Below are 24,789 nucleotides of genomic sequence, written 5' to 3'. Positions count from 1 at the left end.
TTTAAATAATACAATTTTAATGAAAAATCCTCTGGGAAAAACCTCACTTGAAAACATGCTTATAAAGTAATATTAAAAGGTCAAAGTTTATTTCAATGATAGATACTAAGGCCCTTAAATTTTTATTTTATTAGAAGTGGACAGGATATTTTGGCAAAAGTGTTTTTAACCCTCGCTTCATAATGGAGGGTATCTAGTTCCGAATCTTGACCGTGCTGAGAGAGTTGTTTCTAGAGTAACTTCTTAATTCACTAGATGTCTGGAACTGGAGAACGTTTGTCTGCAAGAATCTTAAAGCTTTTACATTGATTACACACCTGGTTTAACTTTTTGTTTTCTCTTTATTTCTTCATCAGCACCACTCACAGTTTCCTTTTTGGAGCACTGGCTGAATTGCTGGACAATGCAAGGTAAGGTTTATCTGTAAACAACAGTTACTGAGGGAATTTCATGACATAACTCTTGTCTAATTACATGGGAAGATAAAAAGATCATGTCATATTTTCCCATCTGGAATGTTTTGTGACTTGATTTCCTATAAAATCAAGGTGTTCTAGGAAAAAGGATAGTTGAGAGAAATAATTATTCACCTTTATTTAATTTTAATTTATGATCAAACTTGAAGTCTGTTTTTATGTTAATAACCATTTAATTGTACATATTCATTTAGATATTTTTTGAATTATATGTCAGTGTATACTTGTCTTGAGAATTTACACATGTATTTGGGCATTTATTGAAGTCTGCGTAGAAGCAAATTGTATAGTTAAGAAAATAGCTAACTTATTGATCTCTTACTATATATCAGACATACATAAGCACTTTATATATGAGCATTATGTCATGCATCCTTATATCTACACTCTGAGATGGGAATTAATATCCTAGTTCTACATGTGTGGAAATTGATGCATAGAGAGATTAGATGATTTATTCAAAGTCACATAATTCATATTTGGCAGAGCTGGCATTCAAATTTGGGCAGTCTGGCTGCAGAACCTCACTGTCGTATTTTACTGTCTCTAATAAATGTATTAATGATTAAGGAACCCGTTAAACAGTTTAAGTTCTGCTCAGTAGTGTATTTGTGGGAGCTTGTGAGGGGCTTCATTTTTTTTTTTTTCAGTTAAATTGAATAAAGCATTTGACGTGTTTTATATTGGTATTCCCCATAACAGAAGATTTTTTCCTACCTTTTGCTTAGAAAGCAAAGTCCATCCAGGAAGTAATGTGCAGTTGTTAGATCAAGGATCTCAGTAGGAGCCTAAATTCCCTGCCACTGGTTGATAACAGTGTTTTAGCTTTTTTTGCATTTGTTCCCCATTTTTTGCCTTAGATGGGAGATGACCCTTCTGAGAGTGTGACCACAAAGTGTAGTCAATTAACCAGCCATCCAGAAATTCCTGCCCTGCACTAAGTAGAAAGTCGTTATCTCCTCCTTTTAGGAAACTCTCTCTGTTGAGCTAATGGAATCATAAAAAGGGAGGGAAGTAGAGAAAAAGAATAAAGTCTTGTTCAGAGCCATGAACTCAGCTTGGAAGGAGCTAATAAGGATGAAGCCAAGAAAGATAAACACTTTTGATTAGCTTCCCTAAAGGAGCTTAGGGTTGCTACTGTTGCTGCTGCTCAAAGCTTGGAAGCAAGGCTCCTCCTATGTCATCGGTCCTGCCTCCTACTGAATGGGCCCACTTTCAGCAACTTGACATCTGCAAGTCTGAAAGAACACATTTATCTATTTTTCCAACTGTCTTTTCTCCTTTGAAGTTGTTTCTTTCATTCATTCAACAAAGGAGGACAAGTAAAATCAGAATGTGGAAGAAGTAGAATAAAAGAAACATTTTATGTAGTAGAGGTTGATTGGGAAAGAAAGATTGACTTCAGACTCAGGGGACTGAGAGAAATGTGATCGATAAACTAATTCTTAGAGCAGCATTTGTAAGCTGGCAGCCCCTTGACCAGGTCCAGCCTGTCTTATGTGTGTTTGGCTTATAGTGAAAGTTTGCACAGTGTTTATAAAGAAAAGGAAGGGAGAAAAAAGGAATTGTTTATAAGGTTTAAGATATTGGAGATACCAAATAAAAAATTTGGGCCCTCTGCCTTCCTTGAAAGATTAGGAGAAGTAGCAACCTCAAGGCCACATTCCTCCACGGGATCAGGGGCTGGAGGTGAGTAGCAGGTGCTCTCTTGGGACCAGCCCATGCCTTCAGCTTTGCCTCATTTCCAGTTTTCCCCCGTGGACAGCCTCAACCCTTCAGTCCCTCTTTCTTCATGGACGTTTGAGTTTTCCACCATTGCTTAGATGCTAGTAGTTGACATCAAAAGAAGCTATTTAACAGACTTAAGATACTGAGTTGGTCTTACGAAGGAGAACTTTATGAAGTCCCCATGTTATTCTAAGAAATTCTTTTATATCATTGTATTCAATATTTTAATGATTTCCTGTAGTTTTAAAAATTAGAACTGAAAGATATTAAAAGAATATTGTAGAGAGAGAAGAAGAATGTGTGGTGATATAGGAAGGATTTGTTAGGGTCCTCTTCCTAATACAATAGCTCTTCAGAAAGGAAGTATCCTGGGCTAAAGAACAAAGATTATTATAAAATGTCTTAATATATGATAAAGGTGAATTATTTTATGCCTTAATCCGTGGAAGTGCTGCATGAAAAAACTACCTCTTTAAAAACTTACATTTCAGTACAGTGGCATTTATTAAACATTTATTGTGTACATGGTACTTTGTATAATGCATGATTATATAATGGAGATATTGATACCTATGTGTTATGGAACTATGGTAAGGATCGGAAGAGAATTTTCAAAAATACACCATTCAGTGCTTACTTGATACATGGGAGGTGCTCAAGAAATGGCAGTGGTAACTCCAGAGTGTCTATATAGGGAGGGCTGAGAAGCAGCAATTGGCTAGAGGAAGGAGCTATATGGGACTAACTTCTAGGCCTGTGGAGCAAGTACAGTGTACCTACTCAGATTTGTCTGGGAGTTTTGGGTTTAGAACTGATGGAACTTTGGAGAGACGCTCAGGTTTCCCCACCAGAGTTACATAGTTGCTGTTGTTGCACTGAGCTTCCTTTTAGACTCCTCCCTGCCTTAACTTACCTTCTTCCTCATCAGCTAAGTCTTCCTTGCCTATGCCTTCCTCCTTTCTCTCACACCCTCGATATTGAAGCCAGAGTCTTCTGGCCTTTTCTTCTTTTCTATTAAAAATTTTACTTTTAAAAATAATTGTAAAAAAATACAAAAATAATATCTGTGAATTTTAGAAAATGGAGAATTTTTTTTAAAACAGTCTTCATCAGTACTCTCATCACCTAGAAGAGGAGTCAGCATCCTTTTCTGTAAAAGACCAGATGGCAAATATTTTCACCTCTGTGGGATACGGGGTCTCCTTTGAAACTACTCAACTCTGCCACTGTAGTGCTGAGGCAACCTTAGATACTATGTAATGAATGGGCATGATTGTGTTCCAATAACACTTTATTTACAAACAGTTGATGGGCCATTTTGGTCCGTGGCTATAGTTTTCCAACCTCTAACAAAGAGAAAACTCCTATTAACATGTTGATTTCTTTCCTTCCATGTATGTTCTTTAAAATGTCTTCTTATAGTACACTATTACCTAGTAATTTGATTTTTCTTTTTTTTTTGAACTAAAATATGAAAAACATTCCATGACTTCTGGATTATTTGCCAGCCAGCTTTTTTTGTTTTTTTTTTTTTTTTTTAAATTATATCCATTTTGTTAGTTTTTTGTGTAATTCCCACTAAATTCCATCTCTTCTTTCACATTTCTGAGTTGCAGTCTTTTTCATATTCTCAAATTATGACTAATCATAGGTCTTATGATATAATAGCACGGTGAAACGTTTTAGAAATTGATTTTGAAGCAATTTAAGTGGATTTTTGTATTGTTTGATATCTGACAATAGGTTATACCTTATGTAAGCAATTCATTTCATATTGAAGAAATAATATTTTTGTATTGTTTCCAGAGATGCAGGGGCTGAAAGACTTGATGTCTTTTCAGGTGAGCAGATTTGCTTTCTTCTTTTATTTTCTTCTAATGGAAAGACTGTAGTTATTTTGCTTGTATTTTATTTCATGAAATAAAACCACATTCTATAGAATTTTAATGTAATCTAAGTGCTTTGTGGGTACAGTGACCCTGTGGGGAGCCAGGGTGAGGAGAGTATACTCTGAGAGTCAAATTGTGTGCTAAAGGACCCATTTACAAAATTAGGTCTTCCAGAGTTTTGTGAATGTATCAGAGTGATTTGGAGCACTCAATTTGCCTGCCATGAGAAACAGTTTTATTTTTAAAAAGTATATTAAATTAACGGTTATTCATAATTAAGCATACATCATTCCCAACTTAGTAGTTTCAAAGTGTGTACGTGAATGTGCGGTATGAGGGCTAGAAAATCCAAACCAAATCTGTTTTCTTTGCTGACTTTATTCGTAGTCATCAAGTATTTATTGCACTCACTAGTTATCTCATTAGACTATGATGCTAATGAAGTTAGGTTCTGTGATCCAGCTCTGTAGAGTAATGCCCAGGTAGTCACGCAGCATCCCTACCACATTTCTGTCAGCTGTTCTGCAATATTGGCTACTGGTCACGGGTGAGAGGATATGCTCCATGATCTAAATCCATATCTCTGTTTAAAAAGCACCTCAGTTAACTGAGTGTTCTGAGTCAGAGGAGTGCTTACGCTTCATGAGAGAGATAGACGTGGACCTCTTGAGATAACTGAGGAAACAATAAATGACACTCTTCATCTCCTTCTCCTCTCCAGGTCCTGAAAAACTTGAGAAATAGAAAAAGAGTCAGCCTTTATTGCTGATAAATGTTAGGCTGGAGTATGTAGCTTAGTGTGAGAGAGCAAATGGACTTGCAGGTCAGACCCCGGGATCACGTGGACTCACCCGCCCAGTGGAGTTGGGCTTCCTCTGAAACTCTTTTGCCCTGGGACAAGGGATCAGGACTCACGCTCTCTGCAGGCAGCTCTCTCCTAGGAGGAAAATGCAGGGTCAGAACTGAGCCTCCCCAGTTTATTCTTCCCTAAGTGACCAGTAGGTGAGTGAGCTAACCTCCACAGGGGAAAAGTGAGTGAAGGCACAGAATAGGGCCTTTCTAGTGAGAAAAAGTCATCTTCCCTTCCATATCCAATAGAGTAAAATAAGATGAACACTCTTGCATAGGAGAGACTCAGAGTATGGTGGGAACACAGGGAAAGAAGAAATTATGCCTCATATTAAGGGGCTAGAGCTTGAAATATGAATGTGATTTTTGTCAGATACTCCAGGAAGAAAAGAATATTCCTGTCTAGGTAATAATTATGAGAAAACAAATGGAGATAGGCTAGTTCACAGATTCATTAATTTATTCAGTAATAATTTGTTGTCTATTATTCTAGGTACTGGGGATAGTGCACTGAGAAAAATGTTGAGGTCTTTGTTCCCCTGGAACATATATCCTAATGGGGAGAGATAGACAATACAGAAATGAACAAATATGTAATATACAAGGCAATGATAAGTGCTAAAAGGGAAAAAAATAAAGCAGGATAAGAGAACAGAGAGCCATGGAAGGGGTATACAGCTTTTCATGGGTGGTCTAAGAGGGTTTCTTTAAATAGCTAACACACAAGCAAAGACCTGAATGATGAAAGGGAGGGAGCCACACAGATGTCTGGTGAAAAAGCACTCAGGGAACAATGCTGAGGCTCGGTTGACTCGCACTAAGTGTCAGAACCAAATGAATGAGCATCTTCAATACCATACCAAGGTTTTTTCTGCAGTCAGTGGACCACTGAAGAACTTTGAGCAGTGTCAGTTTTCTAAGTAGACATGTGGTCTTTTTTTTTTTTTTTTGTGAGACGGAGTCTCGCTCTGTCGCCCAGGCTGGAGTGCAGTGGCGCGAGCTCGGCTCACTGCAAGCTCTGCCTCCCAGGTTCACACCATTCTCCTGCCTCAGCCTACCGAGTAGCTGGGACTACATGTGCCCGCCACCATGCCCGGCTAATTTTTTTTTGTATTTTTAGTAGAGCCGGGGTTTCACCATGTTAGCCAGGATGGTCTTGATCTCCTGACCTTGTGATCCGCCCGCCTCGGCCTCGCAAAGTGCTGGCATTACAGGCTTGAGCCACCGCGCCTGGCTGAGCTCTTTTCTTTTTTAAAGAAAGATACTCATTCCAGAAATACCTTACAAGAGAGTCTGGAGAAGTATGAAAGCAAGGATAGCAGGGAGGTATGGCTATGGGAATTACCTAGGCAAGATTTCATGAGAATTATAATAGGGCAGTAGTACTAGAAATGGAGGAGGAGAGACAGATGTAAGCTGCCTTTCATTCAGAGCACATGCACAATTGATGGAGGATTGAGAAGACTTATCCATAGTCACAAAATATAACAAATGTAATCAGAATCCACGCATTATGTTCTTTGGGGTTTGTGACTGGAGACCAGCAGGGAATGAGAGTGTTTATTTCACCCTACTTTCTCTAAGTACTCAGTTTATCTTCATAAACAAACAAAATAAGATCTTGACCAAGTTGAGATTAAAGTGGCACTTCTCCTTTTTTTTCGAGATGGAGTCTCACTCTGTTGCCCAGGCTGGAGTGCAGTGGCACCATCTCGGCTCATTGCAACCTCCGCTTCCCAGGTTCAAGCAATTCTCCTGCCTCTGCCTTTCCAGTAGCTGGGATTACAGGCACACACCCGGCTAAGTTTTGTATTTTTAGTAGAGACGGGATTTCATCATGTTGGCCAGGCTGGTCTCAAACTCCTGACCTCAAGTGATTCCCTCTGCCTCAGCCTCCCAAAGTGCTGGGATTACTGGCATGAGCCACCAGGCATGGCTGGCACTTACTTCTTTTTTGTGTTTATGTATATTTTGTGAAAAACTGAACTTATAGTTCAGTTTAGCTTAAAATTACCTATTCATGTTTTTATTGATTTACCTGTTCATTTTTTATTGAGGCAAGCCATCTTATGGCTATCAACCTAGCAAACTGATTTTCTTAAAAAAATGGATAAAAAAAGCAGGGACAATGCTTATGCATCAATACATAGGATTATTCTGGGGATACAAAGTTAATCTAAGATTGGACTAGTTTTCAGATTATTTACTGTGGCCTCGAATTATTGTCAATCTTAAATTTCTGTCAACTAATTAATTTGAAGGCTATAAAATTCAAATGAAATATGTTTCCCGTGGTGTTTTATACGTTTGTGTGTATTAGTTCCAGTAAACATGGATATGCATTCGGTACTTTTTTTTAGTGCTTACTAAATGCCAGGCACTGGGCTAGGTGCTGCGTTTACACTCTTAAGAAATTGGCATTTTAGTGTGGAGCCCATGAAAAATGTAGTATGTAGCTGTACTTTGGTGGGTAGAGGGTCCATAGCTTTCCTTATATCTCTGAGGTAACTGTGTTCCAAAAAAGTGTAGGAACCATTGGTCCAAAAGACAAATAGATACACGAACAGGTATTTTAATATACTACAAAGGTACAAAAACAGAGATAAAGGGGTCATTAATTATGGGCACTAATGACATGGAAGGATTAGGAAAGGCTTCCTAAAAGAAGTCTGATATGAACTAATTGAAAGAGAAAATAGACATTCGCCTGGTGAGTGAAGCGTGGAAAGGGTGGAAGGGCATTATGTGCAGCAACTGGAATATGGAGAGAATGTAGAAAAAATGTTTGAGATGTTTAAGATTTGTTCAAGGGGAGTGTTTGTGCAGGAGTGGAAGGTGGCAGTATGGGCAGGTGAGGGAAAGACAAGAAATGAGCTTGGAGAGTTATCCAGATGGCCCGGTCATGGAGGGCAAACAAGATTTGTTAGGTGGTTGGATTTTATCCTGAGAGCATTGGGAAGCCATGGAGAGGTTTGAAGCAGGAGAGCAGTGAAATGCACGACTGATGGAAGACTGGCTGCACCCTGTGACTGTAGGGAGAGCAAGAAGGTAGGGCGCTGTTGTGATCCAGAAAGGAGATGGTGTCTGTATCCCCAGGCAGTATACTGGGGATAGAGAAAGTGGTCAAATGGGAGTCATTAAGGCAGTGAAATTGAGAGGACCAGATGGTTGCCCGTGTGAGGGGTGAGGAGATGGAGAACATAATGATGATCCGAGGTTTTGACTTGCACAGCTGAAGCCTAGGGGCAGGGTGATGCCATTTATTGAACAGGAAACGAGGAGGAGGAGAAAGTCTAACGTGGGAGGAGGTGTTTGTTTTGTTTTGGACACGCGTAATTAACAAGTGATAAAATATACCTGAAATTCATAGTTTTAAGGAATTGAAATAAACAAGGCCAGGTTTCAGAGTGGATAATGGGGGATTATTAAATTTTGAGGCTATACTTATTTGTCTCTAATTCCTAATATGGATTTACAAAAAAAGGAGATACTGTAGTATATGTCTGATGGGAATCTTTGGTCTTTCCCAGCCGTTTACTGAAGGAATACCCTTCTTTCTGCAAGCTCCTTCTAGGAGAAATATTTACAAAGAAGTGCAAATCAGCTGTGGCTACCATGCAGAGCTGCCCGAGGCTGAACGTGGTTTTGCATCAGGTGATTCCCAATCCTGGATGAACATTAGAATAACTGAGGGAAATTTTACGAGAAAATACCAATTTCTGAACCCTATCCAAGACCAGTTACATTAGAATATCTCTAGTTGATTTCAATGTGCAACCAAGATTGAGAGCTACTGCCTTATGCAGAGAACTCAACAGGGTTGGATTCCCCTCATTAAACAGTGAGGAAATATCAGCCTTTGAGGGAGGACTAAACAGAACAAGTACTTTAAAGGGGGAGAGGAGGAATGTCCTGACACAGAAGTTGAGGTAAGCAGACCATAGGACTAGGTAGAGAGAAGGAACTGGGAAAATGAAATGGTAGTCCGGATCCTAAAAGTTTACAGACAAAGAAGTAAATTGGAGAGAAGAGGGGATTAGAAGCGGGCACATCACCATGAAATTATAAACCCAGAAAGATTAAGTATGTTTTATAAGTATGTATTCATGGGCTGTCTTGAAACTTACTTACTTTTTAAAATATTAATTCTAGGTGACTTTTTTTTTTTTTTTTGAGACAGGGTCTCTCTCTGTTGCCCAGGCTGGAGTGCAGTGGTGTGATCATAGCTTACTGCAAACTTGAAGTCCTAGGCTCAAGTGATCCTCCTGTTCCAGCCTCCCAAGTGGCCAAGTCTAGAGGCATGTGCCACCATGCCTGGCTATTTTTTTTGAGATGGAGTTTCGCTCTGTCGCCCAGGCTGGAGTGCAGTGGTGCGATTTGGGCTCACTGCAACCTCCGCCTCCCGGGTTCAAGAGATTCTCTTGCCTTAGCCTCCAGAGTAGCTGGGACTACAGGCACACGCCACCACACCCAGCTAATTTTTGTATTTTTAGTAGAGACAGGGTTTCACCATGTTGGCCAGGATGGTCTCAATCTCTCGACCTCGTGATCCGCCCACCTTGGCCTCCCGAAGTGCTGGGATTACAGGCATGAGCCACCGTGCCCAGCCTATTTTTTTATTTTTAATTTTTAGTGGCCATAAGGTCTCACTATGTTGGCCAGGCTGGTCTTGAACTCCTGGGCTCAAGCCATCCTCCCTCCTTGGCCTCCCAAAGTGCTGGGATTACAGGCGTGAGCTACCACATCCAGTCTCTAAGTGACTTTTGAACAGAGAAGTTGACTTAATAAATGTGCTGGAAATGAATCTATGGGGACAGAAAGCATATCAGTGATTGCTTGAGGGTAAGGTGAGGGTGATGGGACGTGGAAGGGTCCTAAGGAAGGATTTACAAAGGGTCAGGAGGAAACATTTGAGGTGTGGATATGTTCGCTGCTGTGACTGTGGTTATGATTTCATACGTGTGTGTGTGTGTGTGTGTGTGTGTTAAAATTTGTCAAATTGTGCACTTTAAACATGTGCAGTTTATTGTGCATAAATTATTCCTGAATAACACTGTCATTTAAGAAAGAGAAATGTGCTAGAACTCCTATGTCCAACTACTGAAATCATTTTCAGGGCCAGTTTACAAACTGGGCACTAAAATTAGTCTCATTAGTTTTAGTTACAGCTTTAACTTTATTAATTTATTTTAGAGACAAAGTCTTACTACCTTGGGCAGGCTGGTCTTGAACCCCTGGCCTCAAGTGATCCTCTTGCCTTAGCCTCCCAAAGTTCTGCGATTATAGGCATAAGTCACCACACCCAGCCTACCTCCAACATTTTTGTAAACCAAATATTATGTTATGTAATTTAATGATATCTTCAAATCATTAAAATTGATTTCAAATAACTTAGCCATTTTCAAAAATTAAGTGCGTCTTGAAGAGGTAAGTATTTGCTCCCATGAAGATGCACTCACAAATGGCTCTTATGAGAATTAACTACTTAGAAGGGAGCCTGATGGATTTAATAAGAATGGCCTAGATTTATTTTATAATTGTGCTTTGGTGGAAGGGCACAGAGGTTGGTCAGTTTGAGCAAAGGATCCTGGGGTCACTTCACCATTTACCTTTTTCCCTCCCCACAGAGAGGAAATGCCTGACATTTAAAGGACTAGTCCAGTTGCAGAGCAGAACATGTCCTGCTGTATACATAATTTTTTCACATGTAGATGTTTTGTGTTAATTTAAAGCCTTTATGTTGCATGATTATTTTTCCCCTGCAGTTTCTTGTGAAGCTGTAGCCAAGACTCCACTCTAGGCTCCATCTTTGTGCCATAACTCTGTCACTCTGTGGCTGCATTGGAGGAAGACGAATAATTATTCTAGCAGCATGACTTTCTGACTAACAAATTAAGCCCGATATTTATTAGTAATAACTGCTTTCTCTTACAGTGGATAATGAAAAACTGCAGGGGGGATTCATGTTGTGTTTCCTGGATGATGGATGTGGCATGAGCCCTGGTAAGTTAATTATCTAGATACCTAACTGGCTGTTAAAGGAAACAGTCTGAAAACCTACAAAATAAATAAATTGAGCTATCTATGCAAAAACAGGTATGGAGCTATTAAAGAAAGTAAGCCCCAGACTTTTTGTTGAACTTTTTAGGTTTAAGTATCCCAGCTGGCAGAGTAAATTTATTGTAACCATCTAAACCAAGACAAAAAGTAAATGTATATTAATATTGTCAGAAAAATGAAAGGCAAATGTTACTGATTGTAAGAAATAAGCATCTGGGAATGAATGGAAAACAAATAGTCACTGAATAGACTCTGAGATTGTTTTTAGCTCATCCTTTAGGTATTGCTTGTGAGAGCCCCAGGCAGTTTCCTGTGCCTGTAGGCTATTTTTAATTTTGCTTAACCTCGAGGTAGAGGTTTCCTCTCCTTGTTTTTAGCCTTGTTTTTTCCTCTGCATTTTGAAAGCTTTACTTGCTTCAAATGAATGTTCCCATCATAAAGAATACATCTACAATATATTTCATGACTTATCTTTGTGTATTCAAGGTTAGCACAAAGCCAGCACATTATGGGTATACAGTGTCTGTGTGCTGTGAAATTGAAATGTGATTCCATCTGAGGGCATTGGGTTGTTTTAGGTATTGTATTTCTGAATTCTTTAAACATGGTGTGTTCCACAAGCCAGGGTTTTTGACCACTAGATTTAAAAAATGGTGAGAGTTCAGTAATATGGAACTGCCATGGTCAGTTCCACAACTGAGGAAAGGATGCATCAGTATGCTCAAATATTGATTTGCTGATAGAAGCTGAAGATATGAGGTATGGCAAATATCTTATTTCAGCTCTGAAGTTTCCCCTTGGTCTGAATAGTTGAAGAGTATTAGCAAGTTTAGAAAGACTGTTTCACCCAGTTTTGTTCTGACTTCGGATAATTTTGATTTTTCCAGGTCATTTTGATTAAAAGTATTCTTGGTCTTTTATTGTTTAAATGAGAAAGAAGAGTTTGTAACAACAACAGAAAAAACCCATGCTGAAAAAAGTAATTTTTCACTTCTAGCCTGAATATTAAGTTCATTTTTTTGAATTCCTAAAATAAATGACAGAATATATGTGATATATTCTAAGGGAATTCCTTATGAAAAGAAGCAACTCTTTTTATATGGGTCATGAACAAAATGTTTGAAACACAGACAAGTGACGGATATTCAGACCTTCAGAAGGAACTCACACTTCAGTTACATAGTAGCATCAACTAGTAATAAAGTAGAAGGAAGATGACTAAAAGTAGAATCTATCCGTTGTTCAAACGGAGCTAGATCAATCTTGACCCATAGAAAATGACTACAGTACTTTCCGGGTTTTTAAAAAATTCTCTAGTCTTGCCCCTTTATAGTCCATTCCCCACACAGCATCCTGAGTGATTTTCTTTCTTTTAATGTACATTTTCCTGCTGAAAATGTACATTAATATCATTTTCCTGCTGAAAACCCTCAGTGGTTTTCCATTACTTAATACAATTTGTACTCTCAGCATCTCTTCCAAGACCTTACATTATTTGGCCCTATGCACCTCTTTGGCCTTTTCTTGTTCTTCCCACTTCCTCCCTTAGAACACTCCACCCACACATGGCTGACCCCTCATCGTTTGAATCCATCTCATGTTAACCATCTGCCAGTGGCCTTCCCTGATCATTCTGTCTGCAGGCCACGTTCCTGTTAATTCTCTATCGCATTACCCTGGTTTTGTTTTCTTCACTTAATACTCAGTCAGAAATGATCTTATTTATTAGTTTACTTTCAATCTGTTTCTCCTACCATGACATAGTGTTGTCCAAGGCAGGAGCCATGCCTGGCCTGTTCAGTGGTTTATTCCCATGCTCAGAACCGGGTAACCATGCACGTGAGTTCATGTAGTGTGTAATGAACACATGGGATTTGGTTCAGAGCTATACCATGTCTGTACCAAGACTTAGAACTTTGGGTTATAATCCTAGCTGTACCCTCTATCAGCTCTGTGACCTTGGGCAGGTTTTTAAAACTCCTTAGACTTACATTTGCTCATCTGTGACATGCAGGTCATAGTAATAATACCTTTCTTGTTTTGTTATAAATATTAAATAAGCTGTGCATGTAAGTATAAACATAGTACCTAGCATATACTAAACAATCAATAAGTGTTAGCTAAGATTGTCATTATGGATATCCTTACCTAATGCCTAACCCCTCATAGGAACATATCATAGGAGGTCCAGTTAGTTTCAGAGAAGCAGAATGTTTGGTGGCTTTTACACACCTCATACCATGTGCCACTGAACTATAGCATATCTGTACCCAGACTGACAGAGGGTCCTCAGGACAATTCTTCAGCATGTATTCAGGTAGGCCAACAAGAAGAACATTCTTGGTTCTGGAGATTGGTATTAATATATTCTGAAGTCCAGAGGATTACTGTCTAGAATTCCAGAATACCTGGAGAGGTCGGGAGAATGATTTGGAACGTCTGAAATGGTTAGCCTTCTTTCCCAGGTAGTATCAGAGCAGAGGTCATCCTGCCCCTCTTAGTCTCACATGGGCCTGGTTAAGGGCTAAATTCGTGGGGAAATTACTAGTGGTACAAGTAATTATAACACTTGTAATTTGGTAACACCCACCAAGTGCCAAGTTTTGTGTTCAGGATTTCACAAATACATCATCTCATTTCATTTGTTTCATTTATCTTCATCAGCAACACCGTGATATAAGTATTACGTAGTTGCCTCTTACACCACATGGAAATTAAGGCTCAGACTTTTAAACTCTACCTAAGGCCACATGGTTAGGTCTGTCTCATCTCTTTCAGTATACAGTTGTTTCTTAGTATCTGTAGGGAATGGATTCCAGGACCTTTCTAGGATACCAAAAGCTGTGGAAAGAAGATGGCACGGTATTTCCGTATAACCTATATATATCCTCCTGTATACTTTAAATCTTTTCCAGGTTCCTTATAATACCCAATGCAGTGTAAATGCTATTAAATAGTTGTTATACTTTGTTGTTTAGAGAATAATGACAAAAAAAAAGTCTGTACGTGGTCAGTCCAGACGCAATTTATTTTTTTCTGAATATTTTCAGTCCAAGATTAGTTGAGTCTATGAATGTGGAGCCTGCCGTACCTTGGGCTGACTGTAATACCATTAAGACCCTTGTCAGAGACTGTGGATTCTGATGAAAATCCTTGTCTCTGGGCTGACCCAAGAGCTATGGGTTTGTCCTGATGTTCTGAGGAATGTGAGGTCCTGACAGCTGGGCCTCAGGCCAGTGTCAAAGAGTCTTCCTAACCACCTTAAAAGTCACTGTCAATTACAGAGGAAGCTTCAGACATCATTTACTTTGGACGATCCAAAAAACGGCTGTCAACCTTGAAGTTCATAGGGCAATACGGCAATGGTCTTAAAAGGTGAGAATTTTTTTTCCCTTAAGACATATATTATTGATACTGGGAACACTGTTTATAAAGCAATTTACACAGAATGATGCAGGCATGTAAAGCTTTAAAAAATATATAAACTTGAGGCAGGGGTGACCTACTTTGTGTTGGAATCTCCATATACAAAACTGACTTTTTTTTTTTGAGACAGATTCTCACTCTGTCACCCTGGCTGGAGTGCAGTGGTGCGATCTTGGCTCACTGCAACCTCCGCCTCCTGGGTTCAAGTGATTCTCCTGCCTCAGCCTCCTGGGCAGCTGGGATTACAGGCATGAGCCACCATGCTCAGCTAATTTTTGTATTTTTGTAGAGACAGAGTTTCACCATGTTGGCCAGGCTAGTCTCGAACTCCTGACCTCAAGTAATCAGCCCGCCTCGGCCTCCCAAAGTACTGGAATTACAGGCATGAGCCACCACGCCCGGCCCATAACTGACTTTTATCTTTACAACATTTTAGGTTAATTCTCCCAAATAATAAAATAAATCCTCTTTCAAAGATTCCTGAAGCGGTACCCCTGTACTTTAGTGCTTTGTTGCATCTCTATGTTCTGTTGTTTCCCAAAGCATATTTTAACCTAGGTGCTGTGTCTGCAGCTCTTTGTTTTAGTATGCTGCATTGAAAGGTCAGGACATGAGGCTCACTTGTACGGCTCCTACCTGAGACAGATGATTGTTCTTTTGAGCCCTGAATGGACCCTTTCCCCTGCAGCCAAACCTCAAGCAAGAGTGTGGAGCTGGCTTAGTTCAAATTCTTCTGCTTTACTTTGAAAAAAAAAAAATTGTACCCTCTTGATGACGGGTCAGCAGAACAGAGTGTTGGAAAGAACATCCTGTTACAGTACACGGTGATAACAGTCTGCCTGTTTCTTCCTTTTTAGTATTTGAGGTGTAAAACATGATGTTCTTCATTTTTAATATAGTGGGTCCATGAGAATTGGAAAAGACTTTATTCTTTTTACGAAGAAGGAAGAAACGATGACCTGTGTGTTTTTTTCTCAGACATTCTGTGAAGAAGAAAGTCTTAGTGAGGTAAGAGTTGAAGTTTTCCTTCTGTTCCCATAGCAATGATGTTGCTTTCATTTACTCTCTCAGGAGGTGAAGTCTTGTCATGGGTTCTTTCTGATATTATTTAGAAACTTAGGAATATGTTTGGGAAATGGAGAGAAGGTATCAAGACATTCTGGGGACATCAAAGACCTGTCCTCTTGACCCTTTCCTGAGAACTTCATTTTCATTATCCATGTGCTCAAATCTCCCAAAGTAAGAGGCTCCCTTAGACATGATGAGCTTTTTAGAAGAAACCTGCAAAATCTTTCCACCATATATGCCATAAATTGATTATCATTTTAAAAATAAATAAAATATTGGAGTCAAAGACTTGGAATACAAAATGTAAAGAAATTAATGCAAAATAGACTTAAAACTGTAACTCTGGTGACCATAATTTCAACTCCATTTGCTGATCCAGAGGCATTTTATTAATTACCAGTGCCTGAGTTTTATTATTATGGCTGTCAGTTATAATTCAATATAACAAATACATGTTGAGGAACTACTCTCTGCCTAGTACTGGATAGACTCTATGAAGGTAGAAAAGAAGCAGAAGGTCATATGGCCATCTAAGAGTCTTCAGCTTTATCACAAAATAAGGTAGACACATATGAATTGGATAAAAAAGTGAGGGTATTTAAAAAGAATGCTCCTCAATGAGTCTGTGTGGCTACTGTTACCAGATTATCAAAAGCAATGATATGGATGGAGAGATAGAGGGCCTCGAGTGCCCAATGAGGGTTTTATGGAGAGAGTACAACTTGCAGCCGGAAAAGCTGGTACTGGAGATTAATGGCCTCAGCAAGTCTCAGACCTGGAGATGCATATGGAGTTTGGATGGACGGTGTAGGACTGTGAGACTGCCAGTGGGTGGAGCTGGGTGACAGGAGCAGTCTGCAGGTAAAAAGGAGTAAGCCGTGTGGGAGCCTGACCTGAGGAAAAGTGATGCTGTAAGCATTTATGTTGCATGTTATGTGTGTAAAGGGCATGGAAAATTGGGCTAACCCTTAATTATAGCTTTCTTAAAATGGGCCATTCCCTTTTTTAAAAAAAACTAAAAACAGCAACCACTTCCCATTTCTACTTCCACAGAGACAACCTCTTAACAACAATATTAACAAGTTCTAGCTGGGCACGGTGGAGTGCATCTGTAGTCCCAGCTACTCAGGAGGCTGAAGAGGGAGGATCACTTGAGCCCAGTAGTTTGAGGCCAGCCTGAGCAACATAGTGAGACCCTGTCTCAAAAAAATAAAATAAAAATAAAAATAAATGGCCTGTTCTTTTGATATTTACCTATGTATCTCTAAATAGCATGCCTGTATTGCTACTTCTTGATTTTATCTAGGCATTATCTATTAACCTCCCACTATAAAAGAGGATTTACCTACCTTTTTTCTCTGCTTCTATCATATAATCGTAGTCTTCTCATCCCCCGCCCTCAACATAGCTTTATTGTAATTTTAGCTATGACAATATTCAGTGTTTACTTTATAAGACTTTATAAACACTGTTCAAATTATACCAAGCCATCAACTATTATTTTTCCTTTTCATGTACAACTTATTTCCCCTAAAATTAATCATTGACTGCTTAGTTTTTTATGTGTATTACTGTCACTGAATATTTGCTTGGTTTTCTGTGTTCGTGTCACTGTGTTAACCCCAGTCTCAAAGTGCTGTCCTCTCAGTCCCATCTTCCTGATGAAGTCTGCTCAGGGCTTTCTCCTGTGCTGCAGCTCACACTCCTGCTTCCATGGTGGTGTTCAGCTGCCATCCTGTGATCTGCCCTTGCCCTCGTCTTGGTGATTCCCTTCCCCTCTCTTCTGTGTCATCTCTGAGATCCTAGATCTCACATCTTCTTCCATAGCTTGCTCTCTCTCCTTGGTACAGCATGTTCTCCAGTGACTTCTTGAGCAAAGGAACATAGGGGGCAAAATATCTGGAGACCTCACATGCATTAAAAGGTTTTTATTCTACCCTAACACTTAATGGTAGTTGGGCTTGATATTATTTCTAGGTTGGAATTTATTTTCTTTCAGGATTTCGAAGGTTTTGCTTCATTATCTAGTTTCTAGTGTTGTTATTGAGCAGTCTCAAGCCATTTAATTACTTAATCTTATATGTGACCCATTCGTTTTTTGTTTGTTTGTTTGCTTGCCTTTACTCTTTGAAGGTCAAAATAATCTTCTTTGTCTCAGTATTCTGATTTCAAGTGTTTTGCCTTTGCGTGGTCTATTTACACCCATTGTGCTGGTCACTTGCTGGGTCTTTTTGATTTGGAAACTCATATTCTTCAATTCTGGGATAGTTTCTTGTAATAGCTGATGATTTTCTTCTATTCATATTCTCTTTTCTATCCTTTTGTAACTCCTGTTTTTTAGCTATTGTATTCTGGAAGTGGTTCTCTAATTTTCTTAGCCTTTCCTTCCTGTTTTCTGAGTTTTATATTTTTGCTTTATTTTCTGGGAGTTGTTCTAATATTTATTTTTGAACCCTTTTGTTACCAGAAAGGGGTCTGATCCCAGACCCCAAGAGAGAGTTCTTGGACCTTGTGCAAGAAGGAATTCAGGGCGAGTTCATAGAGTGAAGTGAAAGCAGTTTATTAAGAAAAAAGTAGAGGAATAAGAGAATGATTACTCCATAGGCAGAGCAGTGGCCTGGGCTGCTCAACTGAGTATACTTATAGTTACTTCTTGATTATATATGCTAAACTAGGGGTTGATTATTCATGAATTTTCCAGGAATAGGGTGGGCAATTCCAGGAAGTGAGGTTTCCTCCCATTTTTAGACCATATAGGGCAACTTCCTGACATTCCCATGGCACTTGTAAACTGTCATGGCACTGGTAGGGGTGCCTTTTAGCATGCTGATACATTATAATTAGCATATAATGAGCAGTGAGGATGACCAGAGGTCACCATCTTGGTTTTGGTGGGATTTGGCCAGCTTCTTAGTGAAGCTGGGTCAGCAGGGTCTTTGTGACCTGTATCTTGTGCCCACCTCCTATCCCATCCTGTGACTAAGAATGCCTAACATGAACATGCAGCCCAGTAGGTCTCAGCCTTATTTGACCCAGCCCCTGTTCAAGATGGAGTCACTCTGATTCAGACACCTCTGACACTTTCACTGAATTTTTTTCTGTAATCATATTCTTAATTTCCAAGAAGTCTTTCTTATTCTCTGAATGTTTCTTTTTCAAAAATATCTCGTTCTTGTTTCATGGATACAGTATTTTCTCTTATAACTCTGAAGATATTAACAATAATTGATTTTTGCCTTGTTGAAGTTTTCATCTTTTTATGGTTTCTGTTTTCACTGAGTTACTTTGTTTATAATTATTTGTTCTCTATTATCATATTAGAGGCTTTTCTTAGATGGCCGTTACTCCTGAATACTTTAAAGATAAGTCCAGTAAAATGACGAGTGCAAGCTCTGAGACTGTGAGTGGGGCCTGGCTGCTATGATTGTCACAATAATGTGATCTAACTGAGCTTTTTTTTTTATTGGGGAATCCTTAATGTAATTGTCTTTGTGTCTTTCCTTCTGGGTTGGTCAGATTTTTCAAGGAAGACTCCTAGTCTTCTGCCTACAGACCTACCTGTCAGCTTCTGGGAGACAAATGGGAACGAGATCTGAAGATCTCAGCATCTGCTAAGTATACTTTCACTCGGTCTATCTAATCTCAGTAAGGTGCCCACAAGAGCAGTGCCTGGTATGTCTTCCAGTCTAGAAATCCATTGTTCTACTCTTTCCAGAGGGTAAATATCCAGACCCTGGGGGTTGAGGAGGAGCTGTTGCTGATGGGGATCTAAATGCTACTTATAGTTCTCTTCTCCCCCTACCCCAACTCTAGAGTTAACTCCTGCCATCAGTCCCTGAGAATTACAGTGTAGGAATTCTGAATTGCAAGTCAGGCTGGCTCTGCTTTCTGGCTTGGGCTTTAGATTGCTTTTCTTGCGTGTGCTGTCATCTGCTTTTCAACTTTTAAAATGCTGATTCTGTTGTTTCCTCTGCCATTCTACCCTTCAAGAGGGAGTTGAAGTACACTCCATCTGTTCCCATATTCCACAATGGAGTATTTTAAAATACAATCCTGTCTATACACATTTGTTATGTGTCTCTTATACAACTAGATTATAGGAGGAAAATGAACTTTTAACTTAGTGTTTTGTAATTTGTCTAGATGAAGAGTGGAATGAAATAGATAAGACAAAAGAATAATGTTTTTTGTGTATTTCATAGTAAATTGATGTGTTTTTTTTTAAATAGGTTGTAGTTCCAATGCCCTCATGGTTAATAAGAACCAGAGAATCTGTCACAGATGATCCCCAGAAATTTGCAATGGAATTATCTATAATTTATAAATACTCCCCATTTAAAACTGAAGCAGAATTGATGCAGCAGTTTGATGTGATCTATGGAAAATGTGGTAAGATCATCAAAACTCTGACAATTTGATGGAAGTATTTGTTTTCAGTGTCTTATCAAAGACACTGTACATATGTTTTCATTTTTTTTGTTCTTATAATCTCATGTGGATTCACACTGGGGACAGTCATTTATTTTATCCATATGAGCTTTGTCTTAAGAGCATCCAAACAAATTACTGTAAATCCCTGACACTGGGAGAAGGATGTGTACTTGCATGAGCTTGGTGAAACTGGGTAAGAAGAGGATGATACAGGCTATGACCACAGGGACTCCACAGTCGCTGCACTAGATAGCAAAGTTAGGAGACACTTATTGCATCATTTGAGATAGAGTGATAACAGGTATGTAAGAGAGTTAGCAACTTATAAAATAACGAATTAATGTCTCTGTGGCAAAGAGTTAGCAAAAGTATTGCAGACATTCTTCTCCAGATTAACAGATCTTTTCCCCATTCTTTCCACCTCCACCAACTTTCTGTTCAACACGTCGAATGCACTGTGTCTACTGGCACAGTTGATCCAGGATTTAGACACAGCCATTTAGCCCATGTTCTTAGCTACTATGCTATTCTCCCTTGTGTTTAAGAACTACCAAAAAGTATAATTAGTTGTCCTCTTAATTACTCTAATGATCCTGTTTGACTTTGTATCATAATCAACTGGAAATAATTTGGACTTTTTTTGTTAATCATGCCTTGGAGCAGGGGTCAGCAAATTATGGTCTCGGGTCAAATGTGGCCCCATACCTGTTCTTGTAAATAAAGATTTATTGGAACGCAACCACACTCATTCATTTATGTATTCTCCATTGCTGCTTTCATGCTTCAGTGGCAGAGCTACATTGTGAATAGTTGCAACAGAGACCGTATGGCCTGCAAAGCCTAAAATATTTACTATCTGGCCCTTTATGGAAAAAATTTACCAGCACCTGCTATAGTGTATGAAAACAATATTTCTTATTTGTACAATGTTTAAAAACCCTTCTTTGTTTTTATGTGTGTTAAATTCAGTACTACCAATGAGAGCTTTACCTATAACACAAGCTTGGCTCAGGCTCTTAACAAATTTCATAATGCAAATTATGAAAAGAGTGCCAAAGTTTAAAAATCCACATTGAAAGACTTGTAATGAATTGAATTATAATAAGAGGCACCATACTGTAGAAACTCAGCACTCTTTGGCAGGGAGTGAAACTTGCTAGAAGACATATCTTGGCTTAGCCAAAGAGTTAGCCAAACATACTATTTACTGAAGTACAAAAGAAAATTTTATAGCAGACTCAGTTCCATAGATGAAATGATAGCACAATGACTAGCATTTAGTGTATTTAAAATACTGACAAGTCAAACATCTATTTTTCTACCAGGTACTTTGCTGGTTATTTATAACTTGAAGCTTCTGCTTAATGGAGAACCAGAGTTGGATGTTAAAACTGACAAAGAAGATATACTGATGGCTGGAGCTCTGGAGGAGTATGTGTGTGTTTGACAGAATGTTTTTCAACAATGGTGGTGAGCTAGAGTTAGGAGCCCTGCATCCTGGCTCCAGGTCTGAGGTCACTGGGTTTTAGCACTGGGACAATTCATCTTACCCTAGTTACTAGTAAAGTTGGGCTAGGTCAGTGGTTTCCAAACTTTAAGCTTCAGAGTGCCCTGGGATGTTTCTTGAGAAGTACAGGGTCTGGGGCCTCATCTTGACCTGCTGAGTCAGAATGTCCAGATACCAAGCCTAGGAATCAGTCTTTTTCAAATGTTCCCCAGATGATTCAGAGGTGCCAGCATATTTAGGGACCACTGGAATATAAGACTTCTAAAGCTTTCTAATACCTTGACTCCTAATTTGTAGATATTAAAACTGAAAAAAACCTGCAGAGTTTATTATTCATTACAGATCATTAAAAATGGACAGACATTAGGATAGTGTGAAGCAAAAAGGAATATGACCAAGTGGCAATTTAATCATTATTTTCTGCATGAAAAAGCGTGGAGAAAGAATGAAATAGCAACAAAAGCTAGGTTTCTCTAAAATAACAGTGTTACTTACAACTTAGCTCGAGCCTGCAGTTTTTTAGTCTCAGAATACTACAGCTAGAAGAGATTGTAAAGGTAATTTAATCCAGTGCGATTTATTTTGTATTTCAGTGTTGTACAATAGAAATATAATGAGAGCCACAACGAGGGACATATTTAATCTTAAATTTTCTAGTAGCCATGTTAAGAAAAGTAAAAAGAATAGGTGAAATTAATTTTAATAATGATTTTATTTAATCCAATATATCTAAAATATTGTCATTTAAATTTCAATATGAAAAATATTGATGATATTTTGTATTTTTTTTTAAATCCAAAGTCTTTGAATCCAGTGTGTGTGTTGCAACATACAGCACATATGAATTTGGACTAATGCCCAATAGCCACAGGTGGCCAGTAGCTACCATATGTTTTTAGACTAAGGTGTTAAGACCCAAGTAGACATGTCAGGTTACAGAGAACTTCTTTTGCTTTTCCCAATGAGGTGAAATTTAGAAATTTCTTTCCACAGTTAGCAAATAGCTATTTGATAACACACTTTTAGATTACCTTCTCTCCTTATTGCTGTTGTATGTTTTTTCTCGTATTCCAACATGTAGAATTCCTAATATACACATAAATGGAGGGATTTTTTTTCTTTTGGAAAAAAATATTCAGCCTAATGGCTGTTCCACAAATGCTGGGAACCACTGTGCCAGCATTAATATGCCGGTGTCAGAAAGGAGTCCCAGAATTTTCAGCATCTCTATTACTATCTTCCCCTTTTCCTGCTGCCTCTGCCCTTCTAGTTGCCAGCTGGTTCCAAAACCGATATTTCATGCTATTTAAAAGCATTTTGAAACAGTTATCTGTCAGAGTGCCTTGGCATTTCTACACTGGCATTAGAAAACAATACATTGTTAGAGGGATAATTTGACAGCTACATCTTTGGAAAGATGTTCTTGCTGTTTCCAGATTGTGTAATGAAGCCAGAGCTTCTCTAGCCATTTAGGCAGTTAATTACAAAATAAAGAAAATGAATCAGACCTAAAACATGTACACTTTCACTTTGGCACATAGATCACACTGGATTTTCTAATTTGTTTTTCAGCAAAAATTTTTTTTTAGTTTAATCACAAGAAAAGCCTTTAAAGACAGGGCTAGGATTTTATAAGGAGGAATCACTGTAAAGAGGATTCATAGTTTCTGAACTGAGGACGCGATATATTTCATGGCCTCTGACACGAGTACTGTGATGGTGCCAAGAAGGGATAGTATCACCACCTCCTCGGGGGTAGCAGTGCCTCTGTAGTTTTTTTCTGTAAAAGATTTGCCCTTAATTCCACTTCATTGTTGATTTTGACCTACTGTCTCCTCCCCATCACTCCCAAGCTCCCTTTAAACTTAGAACATACTTTTTATTTATTTATTTATTTATTTATTTATTTATTTTTTTAGATGGAGTCTCACCCTGTTGCCCAGGCTGGAGTGCAGTGGTGCCATCTTGGCTCACTGCAACCTCTGCCTCCTGGGTTCAAGCGATTCTCATCCCTCAGCCTCCCAAGTAGCTGGGATTACAGGCATGTGCCACCCTGCCCGGCTAATTTTTTGTATTTTTAGTAGAGACGGGGTTTCACCATGTTGGCCAGGCTGGTCTTGAACTCCTGACTTCAGGTGATCTACTCCCCCAGCCTGCCAAAGTGCTGGGATTACAGGCATGAGCCACCGCACCTGGCCAACATACATGTATTTTTAACTTGTTAAAAAATGGTACATAGTTTACCACACAAGGTTATGGATAATGGTGTGGTCCCATGGGTTCTAACATTAATATCCAATTACTCTTCAGTAAGAGACTAGAAAAGACATAAATTCTTAGTCCTAAAGGATTAGTTCTGGTCCAAGGTGGGTCTTTTTTCTGAGTCCTCTTTCATTTATGGCTTCTGATATTTGAACCTCTAATCTGGTGCAGTTTATAATATAACACATTTTTTACCATTTCTTTTCCTGGTGATTATTGTATCCCCTTATCTCTACTGGGTAGGATTGTACAGCTGTCCAAAACAATTTTCAAATCTTGAAACTATGTAATTTTCAGGTTTGGTCTTAGATATTAGAGTCCTGCTGATTCTGAAAATAATTTAATTTTCTGTGTAGGAATGTGAAAATTCAAACTTTCAAGCCGTATTGGCCTCAGGGAAGAGGTGTTTTGGCATTATTTATTTCACATAGTCCTTGTGAACATTTGACATCGTGTTTTTTTTTTTTTTTTTTTTTTGAGACGGAGTTTTGCTCTTGTTGCCCAGGCTGGAGTTCAGTGGTGCAGTCTCGGCTCACTGCAACTTCTGCCTCCTGGGTTCAAATGATTCTCCCACCCCAGCCTCCCAAGTAGCTGGGATTACAAGCATGTGCCACTACTCCAGGCTAATTGTTTTGTATTTTTAGTAGAGATGGGGTTTCACCATGTTGGTTAGGCTGGTCTTGAACTCCTAACCTCAGGTGATCCACCCACCTCGGCCTCCCAAAGTGCTGGGATTACAGGTGTGAGTCACTGCGCCCGGCTTTGACAACAGTTTTAAACATAGGATTCAAAACCTTTTATCATTCTGCTTTGGGCTGAGGCACTAACAGCAGTAATCAGACCAGTGGCAGGGTTTTCTTTCAAGATGACAATCACGTCAAGAGAATTTCAGTAGAAGTGATGTTCAAGCACATGAACAGTGGTGGCCTGTGGTTTGGCAATATCAGTTTAAAGGTGACCTGTTTCCACTTAAATTAAAAAAAATTTTTCCAATAGATAGCAGTCATCAGAATTTCAGAATGCACATGATACACAAGTCTGCATTTTATGTGTGAAATATTAAATTGAATTTTGAAATTGTGAATATGACTTA

General features: G+C 38.9%; 1 protein-coding gene and 1 long non-coding RNA gene across 9 annotated transcripts in view; one reads left to right on the top strand and one right to left on the bottom strand.

Annotated features, from left to right (window-relative positions):
- Nucleotides 1-24,789, top strand: part of MORC1 (MORC family CW-type zinc finger 1) — a 159,887-nt gene that overhangs the window by 3,341 nt on the left and 131,757 nt on the right. For 5 of the 8 annotated variants that reach the window (XM_047447968.1, XM_011512692.2, XM_011512693.2 and 2 more), the window contains exons 2-8: nt 357-410; nt 4,011-4,045; nt 10,877-10,945; nt 14,287-14,377; nt 15,328-15,436; nt 19,726-19,885; nt 21,253-21,364. In XM_047447968.1, coding sequence (XP_047303924.1) covers nt 357-410; nt 4,011-4,045; nt 10,877-10,945; nt 14,287-14,377; nt 15,328-15,436; nt 19,726-19,885; nt 21,253-21,364 — 630 coding nt within the window. Of the gene's footprint in view, nt 1-356; nt 411-4,005; nt 4,046-10,876; nt 10,946-14,286; nt 14,378-15,327; nt 15,437-19,725; nt 19,886-21,252; nt 21,365-24,789 lie in introns of those variants that run through there. The other 3 variants (NM_014429.4, XM_005247362.3, XM_011512694.1) reach the window with 2 other exon arrangements.
- MORC1-AS1 (MORC1 antisense RNA 1) lies at nt 4,454-13,338 on the bottom strand. Its single transcript, NR_144461.1, has 3 exons — nt 13,235-13,338; nt 4,945-5,030; nt 4,454-4,825 (listed from the first exon to the last, which is right to left on the bottom strand). It is a non-coding gene; the product is annotated as an MORC1 antisense RNA 1 (long non-coding RNA).

The sequence above is a fragment of the Homo sapiens genome, chromosome 3 (assembly GCF_000001405.40).
Source record: "Homo sapiens chromosome 3, GRCh38.p14 Primary Assembly".
Taxonomy (NCBI): Eukaryota; Metazoa; Chordata; class Mammalia; order Primates; family Hominidae; genus Homo; species Homo sapiens.
The sequence above is the reverse complement of the archived record's forward strand: the minus strand, read 5'-3'. Positions and strand labels throughout refer to the sequence as shown.